At 39.8% G+C, this 24,906-nt stretch overlaps 1 long non-coding RNA gene across 1 annotated transcript, besides 4 other annotated features; it reads left to right on the forward strand.

Annotated features, from left to right (window-relative positions):
• Positions 1-523: an enhancer, noted in NCBI's record as "H3K4me1 hESC enhancer chr2:527316-527838 (GRCh37/hg19 assembly coordinates)". NCBI's record gives its function as "activates a minimal SCP1, AML or CMV promoter by ChIP-STARR-seq in primed H9 embryonic stem cells {active_cell/tissue: H9 hESC(primed)}" and the evidence as "EXISTENCE:reporter gene assay evidence [ECO:0000049][PMID:30033119]".
• Positions 524-1,045: an enhancer, noted in NCBI's record as "H3K4me1 hESC enhancer chr2:527839-528360 (GRCh37/hg19 assembly coordinates)". NCBI's record gives its function as "activates a minimal SCP1, AML or CMV promoter by ChIP-STARR-seq in primed H9 embryonic stem cells {active_cell/tissue: H9 hESC(primed)}" and the evidence as "EXISTENCE:reporter gene assay evidence [ECO:0000049][PMID:30033119]".
• On the forward strand, positions 18,490-19,352 carry LINC01875 (long intergenic non-protein coding RNA 1875). Its single transcript, NR_146470.1, has 2 exons — positions 18,490-18,721; positions 18,925-19,352. It is a non-coding gene; the product is annotated as a long intergenic non-protein coding RNA 1875 (long non-coding RNA).
• Positions 23,905-24,405: an enhancer, noted in NCBI's record as "H3K4me1 hESC enhancer chr2:551220-551720 (GRCh37/hg19 assembly coordinates)". NCBI's record gives its function as "activates a minimal SCP1, AML or CMV promoter by ChIP-STARR-seq in primed H9 embryonic stem cells {active_cell/tissue: H9 hESC(primed)}" and the evidence as "EXISTENCE:reporter gene assay evidence [ECO:0000049][PMID:30033119]".
• Positions 24,406-24,906: an enhancer, noted in NCBI's record as "H3K4me1 hESC enhancer chr2:551721-552221 (GRCh37/hg19 assembly coordinates)". NCBI's record gives its function as "activates a minimal SCP1, AML or CMV promoter by ChIP-STARR-seq in naive H9 embryonic stem cells {active_cell/tissue: H9 hESC(naive)}" and the evidence as "EXISTENCE:reporter gene assay evidence [ECO:0000049][PMID:30033119]".

Consider the following 24,906-nt stretch of genomic DNA (forward strand, 5'->3'; position numbering starts at 1 on the left):
TGTGGTGTGTGATGTATGTAGTGTGCGTGGTGTGTGTGGTGTGTGTAGTGTGTGGGGTGTGTGGTGTGTGATATATGTGGTGTGTGCTATGTGAGATGTGTGGTGTATGGTGTGGGGTGTGTGTTGTGTGTGTGGTGTGTATGGTGTGTGATATGTGTTGTGTGTGGTGTGTGTCTAACAGATTAGCATGAACGCATGTTTGTAACAGACTCAGGAGACCTGATGGCACTGCACAGCCCAGGTGAATTAGATAAATGTTGGGTCGACTTGGGCCCATGGAGAAACATCCCCAATAGCTTCTTGCTAACGTCAAGTCAGAGTTCCGAGCCTGAAGTGCAGCCTGGAGGCCACACCGTGGGGATTTAGAAGGGAGGGAGGACAGGGCAGGGAGGGTTAAGACTGAAAGCGTGTGGTTCAGGCTGCACAGGTGTTAGGAGCTCAGCAGGTGGGTAGGAGCCCCCTGATTCAAGCGCAATTGACCGGGAGGCAGCTGGGAGCCCTGGTCAAAGGGGACAAAGAAAGGCACCGCAGGGCTGGAGGAACCGGCAGTGGTGCTGAATGTGGCACTGGTGTGAGCAGACAGACCTGGCCCTCAGAGCCTGATGACCTTAGAGCCACGACACTGAGGGACGTGGAAAAAGGCCGCGCTGCACAGATGCAGACCAAAGCATTTCAGTAGTGATAGGTATTTTGTTGTTTCTTATAAAACACTTCCTAGAATCCATCTATATCAATAATTTTATATATATCTTTAAAAGTAGATAAACATGTGAAATATTTGTCTTATACATATTCTGGCATCAATAAATTAATATGAGATTCCTTTAATTTTTACAGTAGATAACAGAGACACATGAGTTAATTTTATAGGATAACCTAGGAGTGCTATTAAGTCACAATTATATGAATTCTTTGTTCAGAACTAGTGAATTTAGAAAGTTTTCTGTTTTTCATTCATGTTTCTGTTTTAAAAATTATGCATTTTCATTGAAAAATGTATATGCCAAACTTAAAAGTACAAAGAAAAATGAAACAAAACCCAACAGTAATAGTACAAGCATGATAAAATTATTGGTAATATTTTGTTTTCTTCTACATGCACACACACACAATTTTTAAAGAAAAACGGAATGCTTGTATGCACACTGTTTTGTACGCTTTTTATTAACAGACTATGATTAATATTTATCATACCTAAATATTTTTCTAAACATGATCTGTACATAGTTTGCATTATATGAACCATGATTTATTTAACCAACTCTTATTTCCAACTCTGGCCAATAAACAGTTCTTCAGAACACCATTACAGATAAATATTGTGTTCATTGTTTATTATTTGATCACAATAAATTTCTGGAAGTTAAATGGCTAAAATGAAATATAAGAACATCTTTGACATTCATACCATATACTGAGACTTCCAGTTATCATACTTAGGAGTGCCTGAGACCAACAGTGTTAGGCCAACACTGGCAATGCATTTTTAATGACTTTACAAATGTTTCATGGTCTATCATTGTTTTAATCTGCTACCTAAGATTACTGATAATATGGAACAATGTTTTTCACGTTTATTTATTTGTATTTCTTCTTTAATAAAGTGTGTGTTCTGATCTTTGAAATTTTCTTAAAATTAATAAAAATTTTAAATATTTTATTTAAAAAGCAAAATATTGTTTTGTTAAAATATTTAACAGGAATAATGGTAGTTTCTGAAATCTACACCTTCACAAATAATCTCCAAAAATACAAAACAATAATATGAATCTAAAAAGAAAAGGAAACACTCAACATACTGGACACAGAATTATCTCAAACTTAAAGTCACTTCTAAGTAAGAAAAAAAATTTTTTAAAGGAAGATTTTTGTATGCTTCTTCCAAGAGTCTTTGCAGTGAGCAAAGGGGCTTACAAACAACTACAGAGAAGAAAGAAGAACGAAGCTAGCATCAGGCTAAAGATTGATTTAAAATCACAGTCCTAAAGAGAAAAATCATCCTAAATGTGAAAATAATGAAAAGGTATTCTGATATTTTAAAGAAGTGACTGCAGTGGAAGAACCTTAAGGTGAGTATAATTTGAAGGGCAGTCTTCAAAATGCATTGCTTGTGGGGGAGAAGAAAGCAAAAGCACTAAGGGAGAGGCACTCTTTGGGAGCTGATATAGGGGAAGAAAAAAAATCAACGTTTCAAGTCCCACGTGGTCAAAGAGAACACAAGCCCTCCCTCTACCACCAGCAGTAGGAGCAGCAGAAATCCATTAATGAAACCATGCTTAACTGCATGAACAGAAGAGGGTGCTATTGAACTAGGAATCTTATAAACCACCCTCAAATCTATAAAATTAATTTTAAAAATATGTTAATTTCAATAAAGCTACTACATTAAAATTAGTAGTCCAAAAACAATATTCAGTTTGCTCTTCAAACCCCCAAAAGAAACATGAAGCAGAATAAAATTTTAACCTAATATTTCAAACTACATTAATTATCCTTAAACAATTATTTGTGAGATATGAAAACATCTAGACACTGTAAAACAAAAATGAAAAAAAAAGAGGAAAAACCACAATGAGTATGAAATGACAGTTGATTGAACACAGGATGAAAATGCTGAAAACAAAGTTATCTCAGAAATAGAAAGCAAAGTAAAGTGCACCATGGAAAATAGCCTAAAATGAAAATTTACCAAGATGTATTGAATAAATGTAGGGAAATACAATGAAAATGAGAAAATGAAGAAGCGAAAATGATTATGGAGAAAAGGTTGAAACAACATACATATAATTGGAATCCATGAAGGCAAAAACAACAAAGCTATTTAATATAACGAATATTTAAAATTATAATCTGAGAAAACCTTCCCAAAATAAAAGAAGCTATTAGTCTATGTATTTAAAGATACACTAGATTAATAGGAAAAATTGACCCAGATAGATCAACAACAATACATCCCAACAAAACTCTTAGATCTCAAGGAAAAAAGTCTTCAAAGCCTTCAGGTCAAAAGATCAAATAATTTACATGGCATAATAATGTGTAAGATAATAATGAAGCATAATTAAAATAAAAAAGAAAATGTAAAGCAAAAAAATTATATTCAGCCAAGACTTTCTTCAAGTTTTAAACATACAAGAACTTAGGGAATTCTGTATACTTTGGAATTTCTTGAATAACATACTAAAGGATAACCTTCATTCACCAACAAATATTTGTAAAAACGTCAATCAATGGCCAATGGTGTATTGTTTACATATCTAATTAGAAAGCTAAGATTACAACAAAGCTAGGGACAAAGATGGGAAATTAATGAATACATATGAAAGTATTTAATTTCTCAAAAAATCATACTATATGGGATATATTTAAAGCAGCAATCAGAGGAAAATCCATAGTTCTTAATGTTTTTTCAATACAAATAAAACAATAAAATGAATTAAATTATCAGCTCAAATGTTTAAAAAAGACAGCAAAGTAAACAAAGAAAGCTCAAATGAAGAAATAATATAGATAAAAAATGAATAAAGTAGAAATTAGAAAAGTAGTAGCCTTCATTAATAAATAATAATTCCGTATTTTTCAAATGAACAAAATACACAAATCACTACCTAACTCAAACAAGAATAAAGGACATACACATACGAAGTGAGCTATAGACATAGATACAGATATAGATGTAGATGTACAGATACACATGCACAAAGAGAAATAAGTATTGAAATGAAATTATTAAAAAATAAACCGTCAGAGAGTATTTTGCAGGCCTCTGTAAAAATCTATTTCATATGAAGAAACAAACATGAGACAAGCCAGAGAAACACTGAAAAACCAAAAAAGTCACTCATGGTGGTAGTGGTGGAAATGGATTAGTTCTACCAGACATTAAAACATGCCATGCAACCTCTATGATTTACATAGTGTGGTACAGGTACATAGATAGAAAATAGAACAGTGGGATGAAATAAATTTCCAGAAATAGACCCCAAAATACAAAAATTTAGTGTACAATAAAGATCCTATCTCTTATCACTGAAACAAAGATGGAGTTCTTAATAAATGTACTGGAAAACTAATTTTCCATTTGGACAAAGGTAAACTTGGATCTTTATTTTATGCCATACACAAGAATAAACTACAAATGTATTAGGAAACTAAATGTAAAAAAGCAAAACCATACATGCACTAGAAAAAAGAAATGAGTAAATTTCCCTTTAACATGGGTAAGAGAAGATTTTGTATCTACAACTAAAAATTGAGATGTAATAAAAGGTTGATAAATTGGATTATTCAAAATATTTTCACAAGTTCATGACAAAACACTATAAACATATTAGCAAACAACCAGAAAGTATTTGTGACATTCTCAGAAATTGTCATTATTTGACCTTACTCAGTGAGAAAATCCTTATTTTATGTCCAGGGAATCTATTGAAAATAATCAATGGAAATTGTTACAATTGCACTTACTTAAAGAGGTGATACCAGTGTTGCAAACAAGAGGATGGCCAAGAATCTTACTAGGAAGATCTGGGAAGTAAGATGTCCACAGGGCATTGAGAATCATCTGCACGCTCCAGGGAATATAGACAGCTATGTGACTGCAGAGCTGCGTACAACTCAGAAAAGACACAAGTCCCCATTTCTTACCTTAGGCTGATCCTGAAGCTCTTCACAAGGAAAAGGGGAAGGCCAAGGCATAGACGTACAGTCACTGTGTTGAATGACAGCATGTCCCATCTCACATTGGAAGCCCCTTTGCAAAGGGTGGGAAACATTGATGAAAGAGGCTTAAGAAATCTTGGTTGAATCATTTGCTAACAATGAAGATAACTGAGCATGACTTCTGTGTTCACACAAAGTGGGGAACACGCACTTTACAGAATTAGACCAGGAATATCACTGACAAGCAAATAGCAACAACAGCAATGATGGCAACCACAACAAAGAGCAACAACACCACACAGATTGGGAGCTTTAGTTTCCAGAGTGGACAAATTTAAAAAATATATGTATTTAGTTTTAACAAAGAATTATGAGGCATGCATATAACACAGGAAAGTATGGCCCATCCCCAGGAAAGCAGACAGTGGAAAGAAACTGTCCTGAGGAAGCCCAGATGTTAGATTTACTAGACACATACTTTAAATGAGATATAAGTCTAATAAAAGAACTAAAGGATATCATGTCCAAAGAATTAAACAAGCATGGAGATAAATGGCTCACCACATATATAATACCAATGAAAAAAAGAAATTTTTTAAATTCCAACTCTAGAGTTGAAAAGTTTAATGACTGAAATAAAATCTTGCTAAAGTGATTTAACATCATGTTTGAGATGGAAGAAGAGAGAATCAGCAACCTTGAAGATATTTCAAGTGAGATTATTCAGTCCAAGAAAGAGAAAATAAAAGAATGAAGATACATAAATAGACTCAGACTTTGGGGCACTTAGTCAGTTCAGCTGCTATAATGAAATACAATAAACTACGTGGCTGAACAACAACAACAATTTTATTTCCCACAGTTCTGAAGGCTGGAAGTCTGAGACCAGAGTGACATCGTGGTTGAATTCTGGTGAGGGTCATCTTCCTAGTTGCAGGCTGCTGACTTCTTTGTAACCCCACATGGTGAAAAGTGCACTGGCCAGCTCCCTGGACTCTTTTTATAAGGGCACTCATTCAGTTCATGAAGGTTTCATGCTCATCACCTAATTCTCCCAAAAGCCCCACCTCTGAATACCATCAACATATGAATTTGGGGGGATGGAAATATTCAGTTAATTGCATTTTGCTTTCTTGCCCCACAAAATGTATGTCCTTCTCACATACCAAAGACATTCATTTCATTCCAACAGCCCAAAAAGTTTTAACTTATTTCAGCATCAAGTTTGCAATCTAATGTCCAAAGTTTTATTAAAATATTATTTAAGTCAAATATAGGTGAGATTTGAGGTACACTACTTATTCTGAGGCAAAATTTCTCTGCAGTGATAAATTCATTAAATTAAGTATGTGCTTCCAAAATACAATGATGGGACAGACATAGTTACCCTTTTCTCCCAAAAGGAAGAAAAAAGTGGCGATGGGTCCCAAGCAAGTCCAAAATCCAACAAGGCAAACTTTATGAGATCCTAAGGCTGGAGAAAGATCCTTTTTGGCTTAATTTTGTACACTTCCCCCCGGCCCTGCTCAGTGAGATGGTTTTCCTGCCTTATGGACCTACTGGAGTGGCAACCCTTTCTGCACCCTAGGAGAAGGAATTGCACCCTAAGGGCTCTACCCCAATGTCTTTGGGCAAAGATCATCTGGCCTGTTGGAAATTAGGTGATGGTCCCCCTTTTCAAAATGGGGGAGGCAGTCCTGATAATCTCTGAATTACCTTTGGGGTCTTTCTTCCTTTGTCTTGAAGAATAGTGCTATAGTCCTATTCTGTAAAATCCAAGAAATCCAACAGCCTTCTTTTGTTCCTTCTCATCTCCTTCATTGTCAGATCAAACTGACAGTTTTTCTGCTGAGGTAGCTAAGGCAGTTCATAGTTTACACTGCTACTAATTTCCCTATCAGAAGGGCACTTGGGCCACACCTTTAGTGTTCTCTTTCAAACATGCTTTCTCATTTTTTTTTTTTGCAACATGGATCAGCTGAGAATTTTCTAAATCTTTATATTCTAGTTCTTTTTTGTTTAGTAATTCCATCTTCAAGTGATTTCTCTTTTTAAATTTTACTGTAAGTCATCAAGAGGGACCAAACAACCCCTGCAACACTTGGTATGAAAATCTCCTCAGCTAAATATTCATCTTTATTCCTTGAAATTTCTACCTTCCGCAAAACACTAGGACATGAACACAGTTGTGCCAAGTTCTTTGCCATTTTATAACAAAGATGGCATTTCCTCCAGTTTCTAATAACATGTTTCTCATTCCATCTGAGACCTCATCGAATGGCCTGTTTGCCAGCCATATTTCTACGACTTTGTTCAGGATTGCATAGGTGTCCTCTAAGGCAACTGGGTGTTTCTCTTCAGGCTTTCTTTTTCCTGTCTGGGCTCTTACCAAATTGCCTTTAATAGTCCATTCATGGCAATGTAGGTTTTTTCAGCATGCACCTAAAAACTCTTCCAGCTTCTATCCATTACCCAGTTCTAAAGCCAAGCCACTTCCACATTTTTAGATATTTGTTTACAGTAGCACCCCCACTTCTTGGTACCATTTTTAAAATCTTAGTCCATTATGGCTGTTATAACAAAATATGTACTATACAGCATTTAAAAAAAAGAAATTTATTTCCCACAGTCTGGAGGGTGGGAATTCCGAGATCAAGACACCAGCAGATTTGGTGTCTGAAGAAGGCCTGCTTTCTGGCTCACATATGGTGCCTTCTTGCTGTGTTCTCACATGGTGGAAGGAACAGCAGCTAGCTGTCTAGCTTGGTCTTATAAAGGCTCAAATGTCATTTACAAGGGCTCCATTTTCATGACCTAATTACCTCCCAAAGGCCTCACCTCCAGATATTATCACATTGTTGGGATTAGGAATTCAATACATAAATTTTGGAGGCACACAAGCATTTCAGTTCAGCACAGACTTGTGCACACAGGCATTTCAGTTCAGTACATTTGATACCTAACATATCATTGACCAATGGGTGTCCCATTAAGAGAGGAAAGAAAGAGAGAAATAATCAAACAGAACATTTGAAGAAATAATGGCTAAAACTTTTAAAATTTGACGTAAAAGGTTAATCTGCACATTTAAGAATCTCAATGAACTCCTAGCAGAATGTACTAAAAGAAATGCACACCTACACACGTTGTAGTCAAACTGTAAACACCCAAAAGAAACAAAAAATGTGGAGAGTGCCAAGACAACCTGGATGCATCATGTGAAAGTATTATCAATAAGATTAACAATTGGCTTATCAGAAAACACGGGCACCGGAAGGCAGTGAGAAAACATATTTAAAACACTGAAAACAAAATATCAAGAATTCTATATGTGGCAGAGCTTTCTTTAAAATATGAAAGAGAAATAAATCATTCTCAGAACAAAAAACAATTGTTGCTATCAAACATGCACTACCATAAATACCCAGGAGGGGCCTTCAGTCTGAAATGAAAGAGCAGCAGGCAGTAAGTGGAATCCACCAGGAAAGATGAATAATACAATAGATATGGACATAGATATGTCCTTTGTATAAAGATACAGATTCATATAAGACCCGTATGAGAACAGATGGGTTTAATGATGTTTGTTTGATCAATGCCAAAATAATCATTTTGCTTATGATCCTCTTCTGAAATAAAGCATAAATACTAATAATTATAAAACTATGTTGATGGATTTCTATTGTATAAAAATGTTGTTTGACAATAATAGCAAAAAGAAGAAAAATTAAAAAGAGCATTATTGGAACAAATTTTTGAATACTATTGAAATTAAGTTGGTATTAATATAAACAATATTATTTTTGTTAGTATGTTAATTTTAATCCCCAGGGAAGTCACTAAGAAAATAATTTTTAAAATACAGTAAAATAAACAGCTTAAAATGGCACACTAGAAACTATCTACTTAACTTAAAAGTAAATAGCAATGAAGGAACAGGATAACAAAAAAGACAGAAATGTACAAAAGCAACCCAGCAAAATGAAAGACATAAATCCTACCTTATGAGTAATTAAAATTAATTTAAATGGGTTAAACACTTTATTTTAAAAGGTAGAGATTTTCAGAATGAATTAAAAATAGTTGAGCTGTATCTTGTCTGCAAGAAAAACACTTTAAACTGAAAGAATCAAATAGGGTGATATTAAAAGGATAGAAAAACAAACACCATGAAAACATCAACCGAAAGAACTGAAGTTTGCTACACTAACACCAGACAAAATCCCCTCCAAAAAGTAAAACAAAGTTGGAATCGTCACACTTCCTGATTTAAAATCATATTACAAACTTATAATAAACAAAACAGCATGGCACTGGCATAAAAACAGAAACATAGACCAAGGGAGCAGAACTCAGTGACCAGAAATAAATTCAAACATATATGATCAACCAATTTATGACAAGGGCTCTGTGATGGTTAATACTGAGTGTCAAATTGATTGTATTGAAGGACACAAAGTATTGATCCTGAGTATGCCTGTGAGGGTGTTGCCAAAAGAGATTAACATTTGAGTCAGTGGGCTGGGAAAGGCAGACCCACCCTTAATGCGGGTGGGCACAATCTAATCAGCTGCCAGCGCAGCTAGAATATAAGCAGGCATAAAAATGTGAAAACAGAGACTGGCCTATCCTCTCAGCCTACATCATTTTCCTGTGCTGGATGCTTCCTGATCTTGAACATTGGATTCCAAGTTCTTCAGTTTTGAAACTCGGACTGGCTCTCCTTGCTCCTTGGCCTGCAGACAGCCTATTGTGGGACCCTGTGATCATATGAGTTAATACTTAATAACCTCCCCTTTATATATATTCCATTAGTTCTGTCCCTCTAGAAAGCCATAACTAATACAGGCTCCAAGAGGGCACAATGGGAAAGAGTCTCTTCAATAAACGGTGCTGGGGAAACTGGATTTCCACATGAAACAGAATAAAATTGAATGCATATTTCACACCATATACAAAAGTTAATTCAAAATGAATGGAAGACCTAAATGGAAGACCTGAAACCATAACTTCTAGTATAGAAAGGAGAAGAAAAAAATTTCTTGGCATTGGCCTTGGCAATATATTTTCTTAAATATTATATCAAACACTTATACTATAAAACCAAAAATAAATAAATAACACTACATTGAATCAAAAAGCTTCTGTACAGCAAAGGAAACAATCAATAAAATTTAAAGTCACCTTATGGAAAAAAATAATTGCAAACCATGTACCTGATAAGGGGTTACTATTCAAAATTTATAAAGAACTCCTACAACTCAATAGCAGGAAAACAACAACAATTTGTCACAAAACAACTCAAAAAATGGGTGAAGAACCTGAACAGACAATTTTCCAAAGAAGACATAAAAATGGCCTTGAGGTACATGAAAAGGTGCTCAACATCATGAATCATAAGGGAAATACAAATTAAAACCACATGAGATACTGTCTCACACCTGTAAGGATGACTGTTATCAAATACACAAAAGCTAAGAGTAACACGCCATATTGATTGAAGAAAGGCCAAAATACACATGATCATTTTAATTGATGTAAAATAATCTTTTAACAAAATCCAACACCATTTTATGATAATACACTAATCAAGGTTGGAAAGGAATAAATAAAACTATATCTATTTGCAGATTACATGGTCTTGTACATAAAATTTTTTTTTGAAAAATCATAAAAAAAGGAACTTAAAAAACTGAGTGCCAGGATACAAGATCAATATGCAAAAATTAATTACACTTTTGTACACTAGAAATAAAATAATTTCAAAATAAAATTTAGAAATCTTTAAAAATAGTATAAAGACAATAAAATATTTATGTTTAAATTTAACATAAATAAGTGTAAGACTTGTATAGTAAAAAACTATAAAACATTGTAAAAGGAAATTACAGAGGATCAAATACATGGAAGACACCCTATGCTACTGATTGCAAGACTTAACCTTGTTAATGTGGTAATATTCTGTAAGTTGATCTACAAATTTAATGTAATTGCTGTCAAAATTCTAACTGGCTTTTAACTAACTGTGCTATAATTCTAAAATTTATAGGAAAATGCAAAGAATCCAGAATATCCAAAACAATACTAAAAAAATACATTTGACAGATTCATACTTTTTGATTTCAAAATTTACTACAAAGCTTCAGTTATCATGACAGGATGGAAATGGCAAAAGAGACACATAAATCACTGGACATGTAGATTTCTGAAATAATCCCTTACATATGTGGTTAATTGGTGCTCAAGAAGTGTGCGACCATTTTGGAAAATAGTTCGCTTTGACATTTTCTTAAAATGACAAACATAGAGTTACAATACAATCCAGTAATTCCGCTTCTAGGTATATATTCAAGAGAATTGAAAACATATGTTTACAAAAACATATAAGTCTTATTGAACAAATCCAAAAGGCAAAAACAAACCAAATGTTCATCAGATAATAAATGGATAAATATAATATGTTGTAGTCACATGAGATACTGTTCTGAAATAGACAGGAATAAAGGGCTTATTCCTGCTACCACACAGAGGAACCTTGAAAACAATATGCTGAGTGAAAAAAGCCAGTCACAAATGATTGTGTGATTCCCTTTGTATAAAACATCCTAAACAGGCAAATCTACAGAGATAGAAAGTGCATTGCTTGTGGCAGTGTCTTGACTGAGGGAGAAATGAGCAGTGCATGTTCATTAGGTGATTAAAAGGTTGTTACTGGTGAAGGTTGCACAACTCTGAACATACTAAACAAACACACACACAGAAACCAACCTCTAACTTCACATTTTAAAACAGTAGGGTGCTGCTGCCTCTGGCGTACACACGCAAGTGTAGACCCCACTGCCACTGCCTCAATGAAATGCTTTGGTTGGCACCCCCCTTTGGAGTATTGTTGCCAACAGACTGGGAACAGCTCAGCCCCTCCAGCACAGCAGTTGCTTAACCTCAGGTGGCCAGAGAACAAAGCTGTGGTCCTGGTACCAGACCCCAGGGTGAGATCATGCAGCCCAGGAGTGCTGAGCTGAGCCTTGGCTCCCTGAAATCTTCCAGAAATAAAGCCAGTTGACTGAACACAATTTACACTACAGTCAAACCCTCAAGAGCATCAAAGAAGATAAAAGCAATAAACCCCAACTAAAGGACAGCAACTTCCAAGATGAAAGGAACATCAGCCCACACAGATGAGAAAGAATCAGCACAAGAACTCTGGTAACTCTAAAACCCAGTGTCTACTCACCTCCAAATGACTGGATTGGCTTTCCAGCAATGGTTCTTAATCAGGTTGAAACAGCTGAAATGACAGATATGTAATTCAGAATATGGATAGAAACAGAAATCATGGAGATGCAGGAGAAAGTCAAAACCCAATCCAAGAAATGTAAGTAATCCAAGAAAATAATACAAGAGCTAAAAGACAAAATAGCCATTTTAAGAAAGAACTACATTTAGACAGAGCTAGAAAGCTCACTACCAAAGTTTCATAACACAAGCAGAAGTGTTAATAGCATAATAGATCAAGCTGAGAAAAGAATCTCAGTGCTCAAAGACCAGTTTTTCAAATCAACTCAGACAAAAGTTTAAAAAAGAAATTTAAAAAGAATGAACAAAATCTCTGAGAAATATGGGATTATGTAAAAGGACCAATGCTGTGACTCACTGGCATCCCCAAAAGAGACAGAGAGAAAGCAAGCAACTTGGAAAACATATTTGAGGATATTATCCATGAAAATTTCCCCAACCTCACTAGAGAGGTTGACATTCAAGAAATGTAGAGGACCCCTGTGAGATACCATAAAAGACAACCAACCCCAAGACCCAGGGTCATCAGATTCTCTAAGGTCAGCATGAAAGAAAACACATTAGAAGCAGCTAGAAAGAAGGGGCAGGTGAAAAATCTCTACAATGAGAATTACAAAACACTGCTGAAAGAAAACAGAGACAACACAAATGGAAAAACATACCATGCTCATGGATAGCAAGAATTAATATTGTTAAAATGGCCACACTGCCCAAAGTGATTTACAGGTTTAATGCTACTCCTATCAAACTACTAATGACATTTTTCAAAGAATTGGAAAAAAGAATTCTAAAGTTCATGTGGAATAAAAAAAAAAGCCCAAATAGCCAAAGCAGTCCTAAGCAAAAAGAGCAAAGCCAATGGCATCACGTTACCTGACTCTAAACTATACTACAAGGCTACAGTAACCAAAACAGCATAGTGAGACACATAGACCAATGGAACAGGTTTGAAAACCCAGAAATAAAGCTGCACACCTACAACTATCTGATATTTAACAAAATTCAAAAAAAAAAAGAAAGAAAGAAAAGAAAAGAAAAGAAATACAAGCAAGGGGGAAATAACTCTTTATTCAATAAATGGTGCTGGGATAACCAGCTAGCCATATGCCGAAAATTGAAACTGGACCTCTTCCTTTCACCATATACAAAAATCAACTCCAGATTGATTAAAGAATTAAATATAAAATCTAAAACTATAAAAACCCTGGAAGAAAACCTAGAAAATACCATTCTGGACGTAAGCCTTGGCAACGATTTCATGACAAAGTCACCAAAAGCAATTGCAACAATACCAAAAATAGACAAATGAGACCTAATTAAACTAGAACTTCTGCACAGCAGAAGAAACTATCAACAGAGTTAACAGACAACCTGTGGAATGGGAGAAAATGTTTGCAAAGTATGCATCTGACAATGGTCTAATACCTAGCATCTATAAGAAACTTAATAAGCAAAAAACAACCCCTTTAATAAATAGACAAAAGACATGAACACACACTTCTAAAAAGAAGACATAAACATGGCCAACAAACATATGAAAAAATGTTCGACATCAATAATAATTAGAGAAATACAAATCAAAACTATAGTGAGATATCATCTCACACCAGTCAGAATAGCTATTAATAAAAAGTCAAAAAATAATAGATGCTGGTGAAGCTGCAGAGAAAAGGGAATTATTATGCAATGCTAGTGGGAATGTAAGCTTGTTCAGCCACTGTGCAAATCAGTTTGTAGTTTTCTCAAAGAACTTAGAACTACCATAGCAATCCCATTACTGGGGATAAACTCAAAGGAATAGAAATCATTCTAACATAAAGATCCCTGCATGTGTATGTTCACTGCAGACTATTCAGAATAGTGAAGACATGAAATCAACCCAAATGCTCATCATTAGCGGACTGGTTAAAGAAAATGTGGAACATATATACCACGGAAGACCACACAGCCATAAAAAAGAATGAAATCATGTTTTTTTGCAGCAACATGGATGCAGCTGGAGGCCATTATTCTAACCGAATTTACACAGAAACAGAAAACCAAACACTGCATCTTCTCACTTATAACTAAGAGCTAAATATTGAAAACACATGGACATGAAGAAGGACACTGGGTCCTACTTGAAGGAGGAGGGTGGGAGGAGGGCAAGGATTAAAAAACAACCTGTCAGGTGCTATGCTTATGTCCCGAGTCACGAAATAATCTGTACACCATCTATACACCAAACCTCTGTGATGTGCAATTTACCCATGTAACAAAACTGCACATGTACACCCAAACCTAAAATTAAAGTTGGAAAGAAAATAAATACGCAAACAATAAAAAGGGCGAATTGTATGATATGTAAATTATGTCTTAACAAAGGTGCTATTAAAAAGGGGGATGGGCTGGGCGTGGTGGCTCACACCTGTAATCCCTGCACTTTGGGAGGCCAAGGTGGGGGGATCACGAGGTCAGGAGTTCGAGACCAGCCTGACCAACATGGTGAAACCCTGTCTCTACCAAAAATACAAAAATTAGCCGGGCATGGTGGTGGGCACCTGTAATCCAAGCTACTCAGGAGGCTGACGCAGGAGAATCACTTGAACCTGGGAGGCAGAGGTTGCAGTGAGCTGAGATGGTGCCATTGCACTCCATCTTGGGTGACAGAGCAAGACTCCATCTCAAAACAAAGGGGTGGGATGTCCCTTAAATATATAAAAAGATAGTCAAAGGTCACTCATAATTTGAGAAATGCAAATCGAAGTTACACTGAGATACCATTTCTTATCTAATTAATTTGGGAAAAATGGTGACAACACACAGTGCTGGTGAGGCTGTGGGGAAATAAATGCTGTGATAGGTTGCAAGTGGGAATGTAAACTAGGAAAACCCTTTGAATGAACATTTGGCAATATCTGTCAAAGTATGCATGTATGTTTTGAATGAGCAATCCCTCACCTAGTAATTCTTTCTGAAGATACACCTGCAACAATAGGAATTCTTTCTGAAGATACACCTGCGAAAATATAAAACACAAACACGTGGTTATTGGCTGCCTCACTGAAATGGAAAACTATTGAAAATGACCTAAACGTCCATGCCTTGGAGAGTGGGTGAGGAAATTGTGTGGCATCTGCACAGTGGAATAGAAAAGAGCTGTAAAATAAAGAGGAGAGAAAGGGCCACAGGAAGTGCCTAAAACTGATTTCCAGGATATATTACTACGTGGGAAATAGTATAAAATATGTCTAAAGTACGGCACAATGTGTGTAAAATATTGAAAATAAGATACATGTATCTGCTTAACTGTAGAACACAAACACAGAGGGCAGAAGGCCAAGCTTGTCATGGATGGGGCTGGGAATGGAATGGAAAATTTGGTTGCAGAACGCTTCTCAGTAGAGTTTTTTGTGCTTTGAGAACCACATTAAATTTCACATACCTATACCACAAATATATCACTTCATTGAATAGACCATTTGTATTGTTGTTTTAGAACTATGTAAAAGAATCAACGCAGGTGGGTGGAAATGCCCAAATGGGATGCAAACAGAAGCAAACGATCAAACCTGTATTTAGAATGAATGACGACCATCCTTTGGGACTGGGGCGGGCGGCCTGCGGGGAGATTAACCAAATACCTTCAGGATGGGGCATTTGACCATCAGGCTTCACTTAGAGGACTGCAAATGAATGCTGTGCTTTACTTCACAGGTTTGTTTTTTTACAGAAGCATCGGTCTGCAATTTCTAAACCACCCTTTAACTATATATTTTCATTTGCTGTAGTTGTGTAAAAACTCTGCAAAAACTAATAAAGGAGTTATCTTGGTCTTGGCAGAGATGAGCCATTATAGGGGTAACGAAGCAACTGTCTCTTCTGCGCACATTATACATTGTTTTTCGTTTTAAGCTTGTGTATATATGGCTGAGCCAAAACTTTTAAAAGATAAATAATAAGGTGAAGAGTCATAAATGTACAGATTTGTCCAGTAAGAGCAGGTTCTGAGGAAGAGATTTCTAAAATAGAGCATTTTTTGTCCAGTTACAAACATGCCTTTTTACTTTCACGGATACTGTCAAACGGTCGTCTGTCCATGTTGGTGCCAACAGTGCGCATCTCAACCAGCTCAAGTAACTGTCACTTAAAAAAATATTTTCCAATCCTAGGAGAGAAAAGATGGCATGATATTATTGGTTTTATGTTTAGTTTCTTATATTTTATGAGACTGAACATCATCTCGTGCTTATTGAGCACTCTGCTTTTTTGAATTGTGAATTTATGTATTTTCCCTTATTTACCTAATATCACCTTCCAAGTATTATCAGGTATTGTCTCCTCTTTTCTCTTCCTGCGAGGCTGTGTAGAGGAGAGGCCGCCTGCCCACAGGCTGGAGGGTAGGAGGCAGGGAGGGGGGAGGGTGGGAGGCAGGCAGGTTGGAGGGTGGGAGTCACAGAGGTGGGAAAGTGGGAGGCAGGGAGGCTGGAGGGTGGGAGGCAGGGAGGCAGGAAGGTGGGAGGCTGGAGGGTGGGAGGCAGGGAGGGGGGAGGGTGGGAGACAGGCAGGCTGGAGGGTGGGAGTCACAGAGGTGGGAAAGTGGGAGGCAGGGAGGCGGGAAGGTGGGAGGCAAGGAGGCGGGAAGGTGGGAGGCAGGGAGGCAGGATGATGGGAGGCAGGGAGGCTGGAGGGTGGGAGGCTGGAGGCAGGGAGGCAGGGAGGCAGGAGGGTGGGAGGCAGGAAGGCTTGAAGGTGGGAGGCTGGAGGCACGGAGGCTAAGGCGTGCAGTTACATAGGCTGCATATGTTTTATCTTGGTTTGTTACTTGCTGTTAATCTTGTTTATTGTTCTTTGGCCCTACAAAATCTTTTAGCTATTGTGAAAAAATATTTATTTATTTTTTTCCTTGCAGCTTATGGAAAGTGTAAGATTATATATTTTTTCAAATATTTAGTTCTATTTACATTGCTTTTTATCACATGCAGATTTCTATCTGAGTAGTGTATTATGTGTCTTGGGATCTGACTTTTTTAAATGGAGTTAATATTCCCAATATTAGTTATTTAGGAATCCATGAACTGACCTCAAATAACGCTTTTACTACATACTCCATGGATATAATTTGGGGGACTACATCGGGTAAATATTTATTAAGTGAGAAGATCAGTGGCTTATTCCTCACCTAATCCTTGTTCACACTAACCTTCGTCACTGCCTGTTCCTGTTCCCCAAGCCCCACTCTAATGCTAAGTCATCCTGGCATTTCTTTGAGTTAAGCAGCAATAACTCCTTATTTTGACATTGTATTTTTGACCAATCACAGCGATCTGTTTAACCTCCCCTGCCCTTCGGTTTAAGACATCACCTTCAGCAGGTATTAGTGTTTCCTCTTACTTTGCTGAAGTAACAACACTGTAGTGGAAACCCGTTATTTAATTCAGCCTGTGACCCACCTGTGACTCTTCAGGCTACAATAACCTGCAAGCTTCTTTGCTGTTCAATTCTCGATGCATGCTCATCATGTTCTAATTTAAACGCCATCTCCTCCTCCTGAGGCCCCTCCTGAGGCCCCTCCTGGCCCTGCAGCTGGAGTCCAGGGCTAGTCCCCCACTCTGCTTTCCTCCTAGCACGGCCTGTTCCTGTCTGCCTTCCACAGCGGGCGCTGAAGAAGCACGGAGAATCTCCCCTGGCCCCTGTTCTCACCCTCACTGCATGTTCCAGGAGATCCTGTGACCTCAGTCAAAGCTGGGGGCAGTTTTCGAAGGAGGCTTTTCTCTCCAATTCTTCAGCTTATTGTTTCAGGGCATAGCATCCCTGCATAAATGAACAATTTTATTTTCAACTAAAGGTTTTGTCCCATCATAAAACATTTTCACCATGAGTCAAGGTAACATTCTGATTTTTTTTTAATGGAAAGAAGTAACAGGGAATGAAACATACAAAGCCAGAAGAGGTTTGGAATTTGAATGGAATCCAGGTGATTGATAAAGCAGGGGTGTTGCTTCATGTCAACCGCCCACTTACCGAACTGGAAAAACAGTAGGCAATTCATTGAGGGATGATTTTACAGACCTACACAGAGATGGAAATTGACTGCAGAAAAGATTTTGGAAGGCTCACCTCAGCCTCTTTCTGGAGAACCGTGTTGATCAAGCGTGCAATCACAAACGCAGGCATCCTTCCACCGTGGTGAGGAGGCGACTGTGGGCTGTGTCACAACCCTGATCTGCCTTTCTCCTGATGCCCACAGACGTTTGAGAAGCATCGCTGCTGCCGTGGAGCACACGGAGTCAGTGAGCTGGGGCTGAGGCTTCCTTATTCCCTGCAGGTGTCTCCTGTGATGCTGCGTGCTGGAGAGAACCCAAGGTCAGTTACCCTTAGAGCTCCTCCTACGATCCAGTCCGCGTGATCCTTTGAATAATTGCCTTCTGCTGTTTACCGACAGATTCTCTATTCCTAGAACAGGAGCTAACACTCCATAACCGTTATCTGTATCATTGTGGTAAGTAAAGTTCTCTGACAAGTTCCTCATGTGTGGAACAAGAGTAACACCCAATGAGCTGCCTGAAGGATTCAGTGTCTTGGTGTTCACAAGGCCCCAGCACATCGTCTAGGACGTGAGACCCACACGCCGCCCTCAGTCTCCTCAGTTCACTGTTTCCCCCGGGGAAACAACCGCCAGGGCCTGTAGGAAAACACAGCAAACTAGAAAGTCCAGTTGGAAGAGATTTCAGATGTGCTACAGCCTCCACGGCAGGAGTGAAGCTGGACCTCCAGGCTCCTGGTGAGAGCCGCGGGTGGGTGTGGTGTCCTGGATGCGGGGGGCCGGCCACAGGTGCTGGTGGGTTCTCCCAGGCATCAAAGGTGCCTGCTACCTCTTGTCCAGACATTGTGAGACATCTGAGCTGGAACGTGAAGTATCACAAGTGTGGAGCTCAGGAGAGGCCTCCAGAGCAAAGATGAAAGCTTGGGGTCATTTGTCTACAGATGACACTGAGGATTGTGGAGCTGAGTGACACCAGCCGGCAGGAGAGGCCATGGCAGGAAGTGGAGCCTCCCACCGAACTCCAGGGAGCACCAGCGACTGAGAGGCCACATGGCGGGCGGCTGTGGGTTGGGGGGGCTGCCTGCCCGCACACTCTTTACGGCAGAAGCAGTGACATTTCCCTTGCTGTGCCCATGGCAGGGACGGGCCCGTGGCAGGTGCTGTGAGCATGTGCTTGCCAAGTTCCTGATGCGGAGCCCAGCCAGCCCAGAGGGCCACATTCTTGTCACTGCTTCTTGGAGCCGCAGCTCATGCCAAGTTCCTCACACCCCTCTCTGGGCTCTAACTTTGTGCTGCCTCAGATGTTCAGGGTACTTTGCTTCAAGCCATATCAAAAGCTGGTTTGAAAAATAAAGTCCTACAGAGGTGCTAACTGAATAAGGTGAGTTTTTTATTTTAATAGGTGCCTTCTAAAGACAGCTGTCTTATCTTGTTATTTATCACTCACATCTGACACTAATGTCAGTGATTTCCATGTGGATAGGGAAGGCACTGGGACTTGCTGCGGAGCTGGGCATGAGGCTATGAAATTCGAGTCAGTTGCTTTGCTTGGTCCTACTGCACGTCGTGGCAATGCATTTGACACCCATACTGTTATGCAGCCAGCCAACATTCCTGGAAGCATCCAGTAGCTGGAAAAGTCTCCGGAGAATACAACAGGGTGGTGCTCTGTGCCGGGAAGATGTCCCAAAAAGCATTTTCTGGAAACTAATATCCGCCGTGGTCCTATTTTTGAAAGCAGAAATGGCTCTTTGGAGAGAACAATTTAAAGGGTATGAGTGTGTTTGTGCCGTAAGCAGCGGCTGCTCAACAGGACTGAGCTCCACTGCGGCACTCAGCTCTGAAGACTCAGCTCTGAAGAACGCCCGACCCAAGGGCTCCTCCCCAGAGCTGAGATGTGAGAAAGGCATGAAAGCAGAATGGGAGACACCTGCACAGGGAGAGTGTCCCGCTACACAGGGAGGGACAGCCAGATACGGGGAGACACCTGCACAGGGAGAGTGTCCCGCTACACAGGGAGGGACAGCCAGATACGGGGAGACACCTGCACAGGGAGAGTGTCCCGCTACACAGGGAGGGACAGCCAGATATGGGGAGACACCTGCACAGGGAGAGTGTCCCGCTACACAGGGAGGGACAGCCAGATAGGGAGAGACACCTGCACAGGGAGAGTGTCCCGCTACACAGGGAGGGACAGCCAGATATGGGGAGACACCTGCACAGGGAGAGTGTCACGCTACACAGGGAGGGGCAGCCAGATATGGGGAGACACCTGCACAGGGAAAGTGTCCTGCTACCCAAGGAGGGACAGCCAGATACGGGGAGACCCTGCACAGGGAGAGTGTCATGCTACACAGGGAGGGGCAGCCAGATATGGAGAGACACCTGCACAGGGAGAGTGTCCCACTACACAGGGAGGGACAGCCAGATATGGGGAGACACCTTCACGAGGAGAGTGTCCCACTACCCAGGGAGGAACAGCTGGGCACAGGGAGATACCTTCACGAGGAGAGTGTTTCACTACACAGGGAGGAACAGCCGGGCACAGGGAGACACCTTCACGAGGAGAGTGTTTCACTACCCAAGGAGGGACAGCTGGGCACAGGGAGACACCTTCATGAGGAGACTGTCTCACTAAACATAGAGTGACCCGCAGGCACAGCATCTGCTTTCATCCCCAGAGGCCAGGACAGTATTTTTGTCCAGTTACTGCTTGGCTCAACTCAACACAACTGAGCCTGGTGGTGTTACAGAGAAATTCTAGAGCCTCAGAAGTCATGTAAATTAGATTCTCCTAATCAACATGGGCTCTGAAATGGGTCCTGTTCAAAGCAGCATTGGTGTCCATTTCTGTAGTGATGTGTGGACACTGTGTGGCACCTGCATCCTCAGAGGCCAACATCCTTCCTTGTCTTCAGAGAACCCCCTCCTGAGCACAGCGCCCCTCCAAGAGATTGTTCTAGGAAACTACTGTGCTGGTACGGAAAAAAGAATAAGCTATTCATGCAGAAATGTATTAACTGCATCAAACCTATTTCCAAAACAGTATTGGAGGAGGTTTATATTTAAAACCTATATAACACATATGTAGAAATATATAGAACACAGGTTGATGTTCTTGTGGTTTTTGTCATTACTTTTAGTGGCAAAAGCTGCTATTACTTTTGAACCAACCTCATATTTAAAATGCATATTACATTGAATAATAATATATTATTTTAAGTATATATACACATGTAGCATATATGTAAATATATTATTTTCTATATGTATATAGTTAAAAATAACTGAAGATGGAGAAAGAGGCTGTTGTCATTGGAAAGGCAGTCACGCAATGCTGGGCATGGGGTCGAAGTAAACGCCGTTAAGCTGTTGCTTTATTCTGTGTCCTCTGGATCCTTCCGACGCCCAGCTAAATGCACGTCTCCCCTTTCCTTGGCCGTCCTTCTAAACGTGCATGTAGTCAGATCATTTCTCAGGAACATGCATTCAAAGTGCCTCCTCTTCTGTAGAATTTGGAGGTCTGTGCACAATACAGGCTCCCTGCAGGACCCCCAGGGGCTCCCTCAAATTCCTACGGTCTCCACCCTTCTTCATCTGCCCAAACACCAAGAGTGAACCCCAACAGAAGCTGTGGACACCCTGTGATGTCACAGTGTGTGCCCTTGGAGGCTCATCCACTGTAACCACTGCTTTGTTTCAGCAGGGATGGTGGTAGCAGGCTGCTACCTGCCAGGCTGTGTGTGCAGGGGATATGTGGGAAACCTCTGTTCCTTCCTCTCAATTTTGCTCTGAATCTAAAACCCTGCTTAAAAAAGTCAATTCTTAAAAAAAAAACAGGATGGAGACAAACCTTTCAGATACAATACATGAACTTGGGTTCAAAAACAGTAAGAAAACTCTCTCCAGGGCAATTACAGAAATGTAAGTAGAGGCTGTATCCTAGATGGTATTATTCAATCAGTGCTAGTTTCTTAGGTGGGTGTGATCATGAATAGTGCTGTAATTATAAAAGTAAATAAAGGCACACGTGGAAGCACTGTTCAGTGACAGCATTTCTACAGGGAGCCACAGTGGTGCTGCCAAATTTTTTTTTCTGATGATTTACATTGGTATCAGATTGAACTCAAAGAAACTAGAGAAAGAAATGACTAGCCCATCCCTAAGGCCCTAGCTAAAATGCCACTGTCTCCACTGATCTTTCACCAAGACATAAATAATATTTCTTCAAGACCATCAACCTTGCAAGTGGCTCAGGAAGCATGCATTTCTCGTTGTTGGCTAAAAAAGGGTGCCATATGCTTTAGCAATCATAGAGTCAGCCTAGCAATGGGACTTTTCCATATGTAGAGCTAGGACCTGGCTACTTCTTTAATTAAGTTATAAATCCTTGCCTGATTTTATATTTAATTATTTTATATTTAATATATTTATATTTAATTTTTCAATGAACAATAGTTATTTTTCATGTTTTAAATAATTTATCATTGTAGTAGCAAGTCAAGAAGGGTGACCAAGTTGTTCACCTTTTAGTACCTGCAGCTGGTCATGCATGTCTGGTACCTGAGGCCTCAGTAAATGCTGAAAATTTCATTTAAAAGTAAGTAGCTGGTTTGCTGGACTTACACTGTTATCTCTTTGTAAATGGAACAAGGCTCCAGTATGACAAAGGGGAAATCAGTTGTATTTAATATCACCAGTCAACAGCCAACACCCCTAAGGCTAACTTACCATCCTTGTACTTACTATGTATAGCAGCGTACAGTCTCTTTCTAAAAAATTTTGAAACTTTCAATTTGACAAATCACATCTATATTTAATTAATATGAAACAAAAAAACTATGTTGACTTTAAAAGACCGGACTAGATTAAAATTATCTACACAGAGGATGCATTATATATTCTAAATATTCCACTTATAATTTTCATTTCTATTTAACTTCACACAAAAGAAACTTTATTTTGTAATTTTACGAGATTTTCAAGAAAAATATTTTAGTTGATTTAATATTTTTTCATTCAGCACCACACAAATCCTCAGAGAGAAAAACCTTATAGGAAACACGACCTTTCCATAACATGCACATTCATCTTCTTCCTTTCAAAATTGTCAATTATCCCAGTTGCTTAGTTCCCAGCATCTTTAAAGAGAATGAATTATTTATGCAGGTGGTTGCTGAAAATGAAACACCATTCAAAGTTGAAATTAAAGAATTGTAAGAGCTTGGGGAATTCCGATGCCCAAATATCATGGGGTCATCTTCATTTTAAAGATCGTGGCTTTTAATATTATCATTTTTATGACAGTGTACAGAGCAGGATTCTGGGATGCCTCAGCAGCTTCGCCGTGCCTTAGCACTTTTCTGAACTAACCAATGTATTACAAACTATCATTGAGATCGAAAGGTTTAGTCACATAACATTACAAATGATGGCATCATGTTAATTTGCATAGTTTTTCTTCACATTAATTTTATTGTATGGCTTGCTCTTTAGAAAGTGAGCTTCTTAAACTCAAAATAGTTCAATTTATCTACTGAGTTGTATTTTTGGGGGAGGGTTATCATTTTCCATCACATAAAGTTCACGCACTTGCAGACTGCTCACTCATGTATCAAGTTCCTGCTTGATGTCTGCACTTGGTCGTCTAATAGAGAGCTCAAAAGGCTCAGAACTGAGCTTCCAACTTCTCCACCCACAGCCTTCTCCACCTGTCTGCTTGCTTCTTCAACAGAGAGGCCTCCAGGCCTTGGTGACTGCAGGCAGTGAAGGCTCATTTCTCATTCACGGAAGCTGCGCAGCTGTCAGCAGAGAGCTCTGCTCTGTGCAGTCACTCAGGGTCTGACTGCTGCACAGCCATTGGTGAGGCTTCTGAGGTCCCTGCATGGGGAAGGATGAAACAGGAAAGGTGCTTCCATCTGCTCCTACCTGGAGGTGATGTGAGCTATTTCCTCTCGGTCACCATCCACAGACCAGAACACGTCTCAGGACAGAGGCTGCAGTGAAGGAGGTGGGACACAGAGGTACTCGCATCCCGTGCCTTGGGGCTCTCACTCCAGGACGTTAGTATCATCCGCACTGTGAGTCCCCACCCCGGGTGCTGAAACACCTCCCTCAGCTGCTTATGCAAGTGCTTTGAGTTAATCACCCATCTCTTTCTTTCTTTCATACCCCAGTGTAATTCCTCAGAAAATCCTAATGGCCCACTCCCAGCACACACAGAAAGCAGCTCCCATGACTGCTGCTGCCCGATCTGCCTGAACCATGCGGACGCCCCTCTTGACTCGGGCAGGTGCCACCTTCCCAGCCCAGCCCTTCTCAACCCAGAAGCCTGAGAATCCACTTAAAAAGGTGTCAGATCTGTCACTTTCCTGCTTAAAACCCTGCGAGTCTTCCTGATCCTCCGGGACGCTCTCCTGGGTCCTGTGAAGCCCTCACGAGGTCGTGCCCATCGACCTTTCCCACCACTGCCCCCACTTTCCTGTGTCCTCAGCCCATGGGCTCTTCCCTGTTCTTTCACCACAGGGCAGACGTCCCTGTCAGAGCCCCTGCCTGTTGGTCCCTTTGTGTGAATGCTGCTGTCCCAGCGCCTCCCGCGGGCCTCCTGCCGGACACCAGGGTATCCACAGGCTGCTCTGAGGATGCCGCCTGCACAGCCACAGGCACCACGGCCTTGAAAACAAAAGACAAAAACTATGGCCCCTGCCATCTTCTGACATCACACAATTTACTCACAAATACCTGTTGGTGTTTTGCACTCGGCCCACAGACTGTGAGCTCCGCAGGGACATGCACTTGGGCTGGTTTTGTTCAGTGATGACGCTCAGACACTTGCAAATACAGTACTCAATAACTAACATCAGTTTCTCAACTCACTGAAACTTTGTCAAATGAGAAAAGGTCTTCCAGCAACCCCTTCCCTG

The sequence above is a fragment of the Homo sapiens genome, chromosome 2, assembly GCF_000001405.40.
Source record: "Homo sapiens chromosome 2, GRCh38.p14 Primary Assembly".
Taxonomy (NCBI): Eukaryota; Metazoa; Chordata; class Mammalia; order Primates; family Hominidae; genus Homo; species Homo sapiens.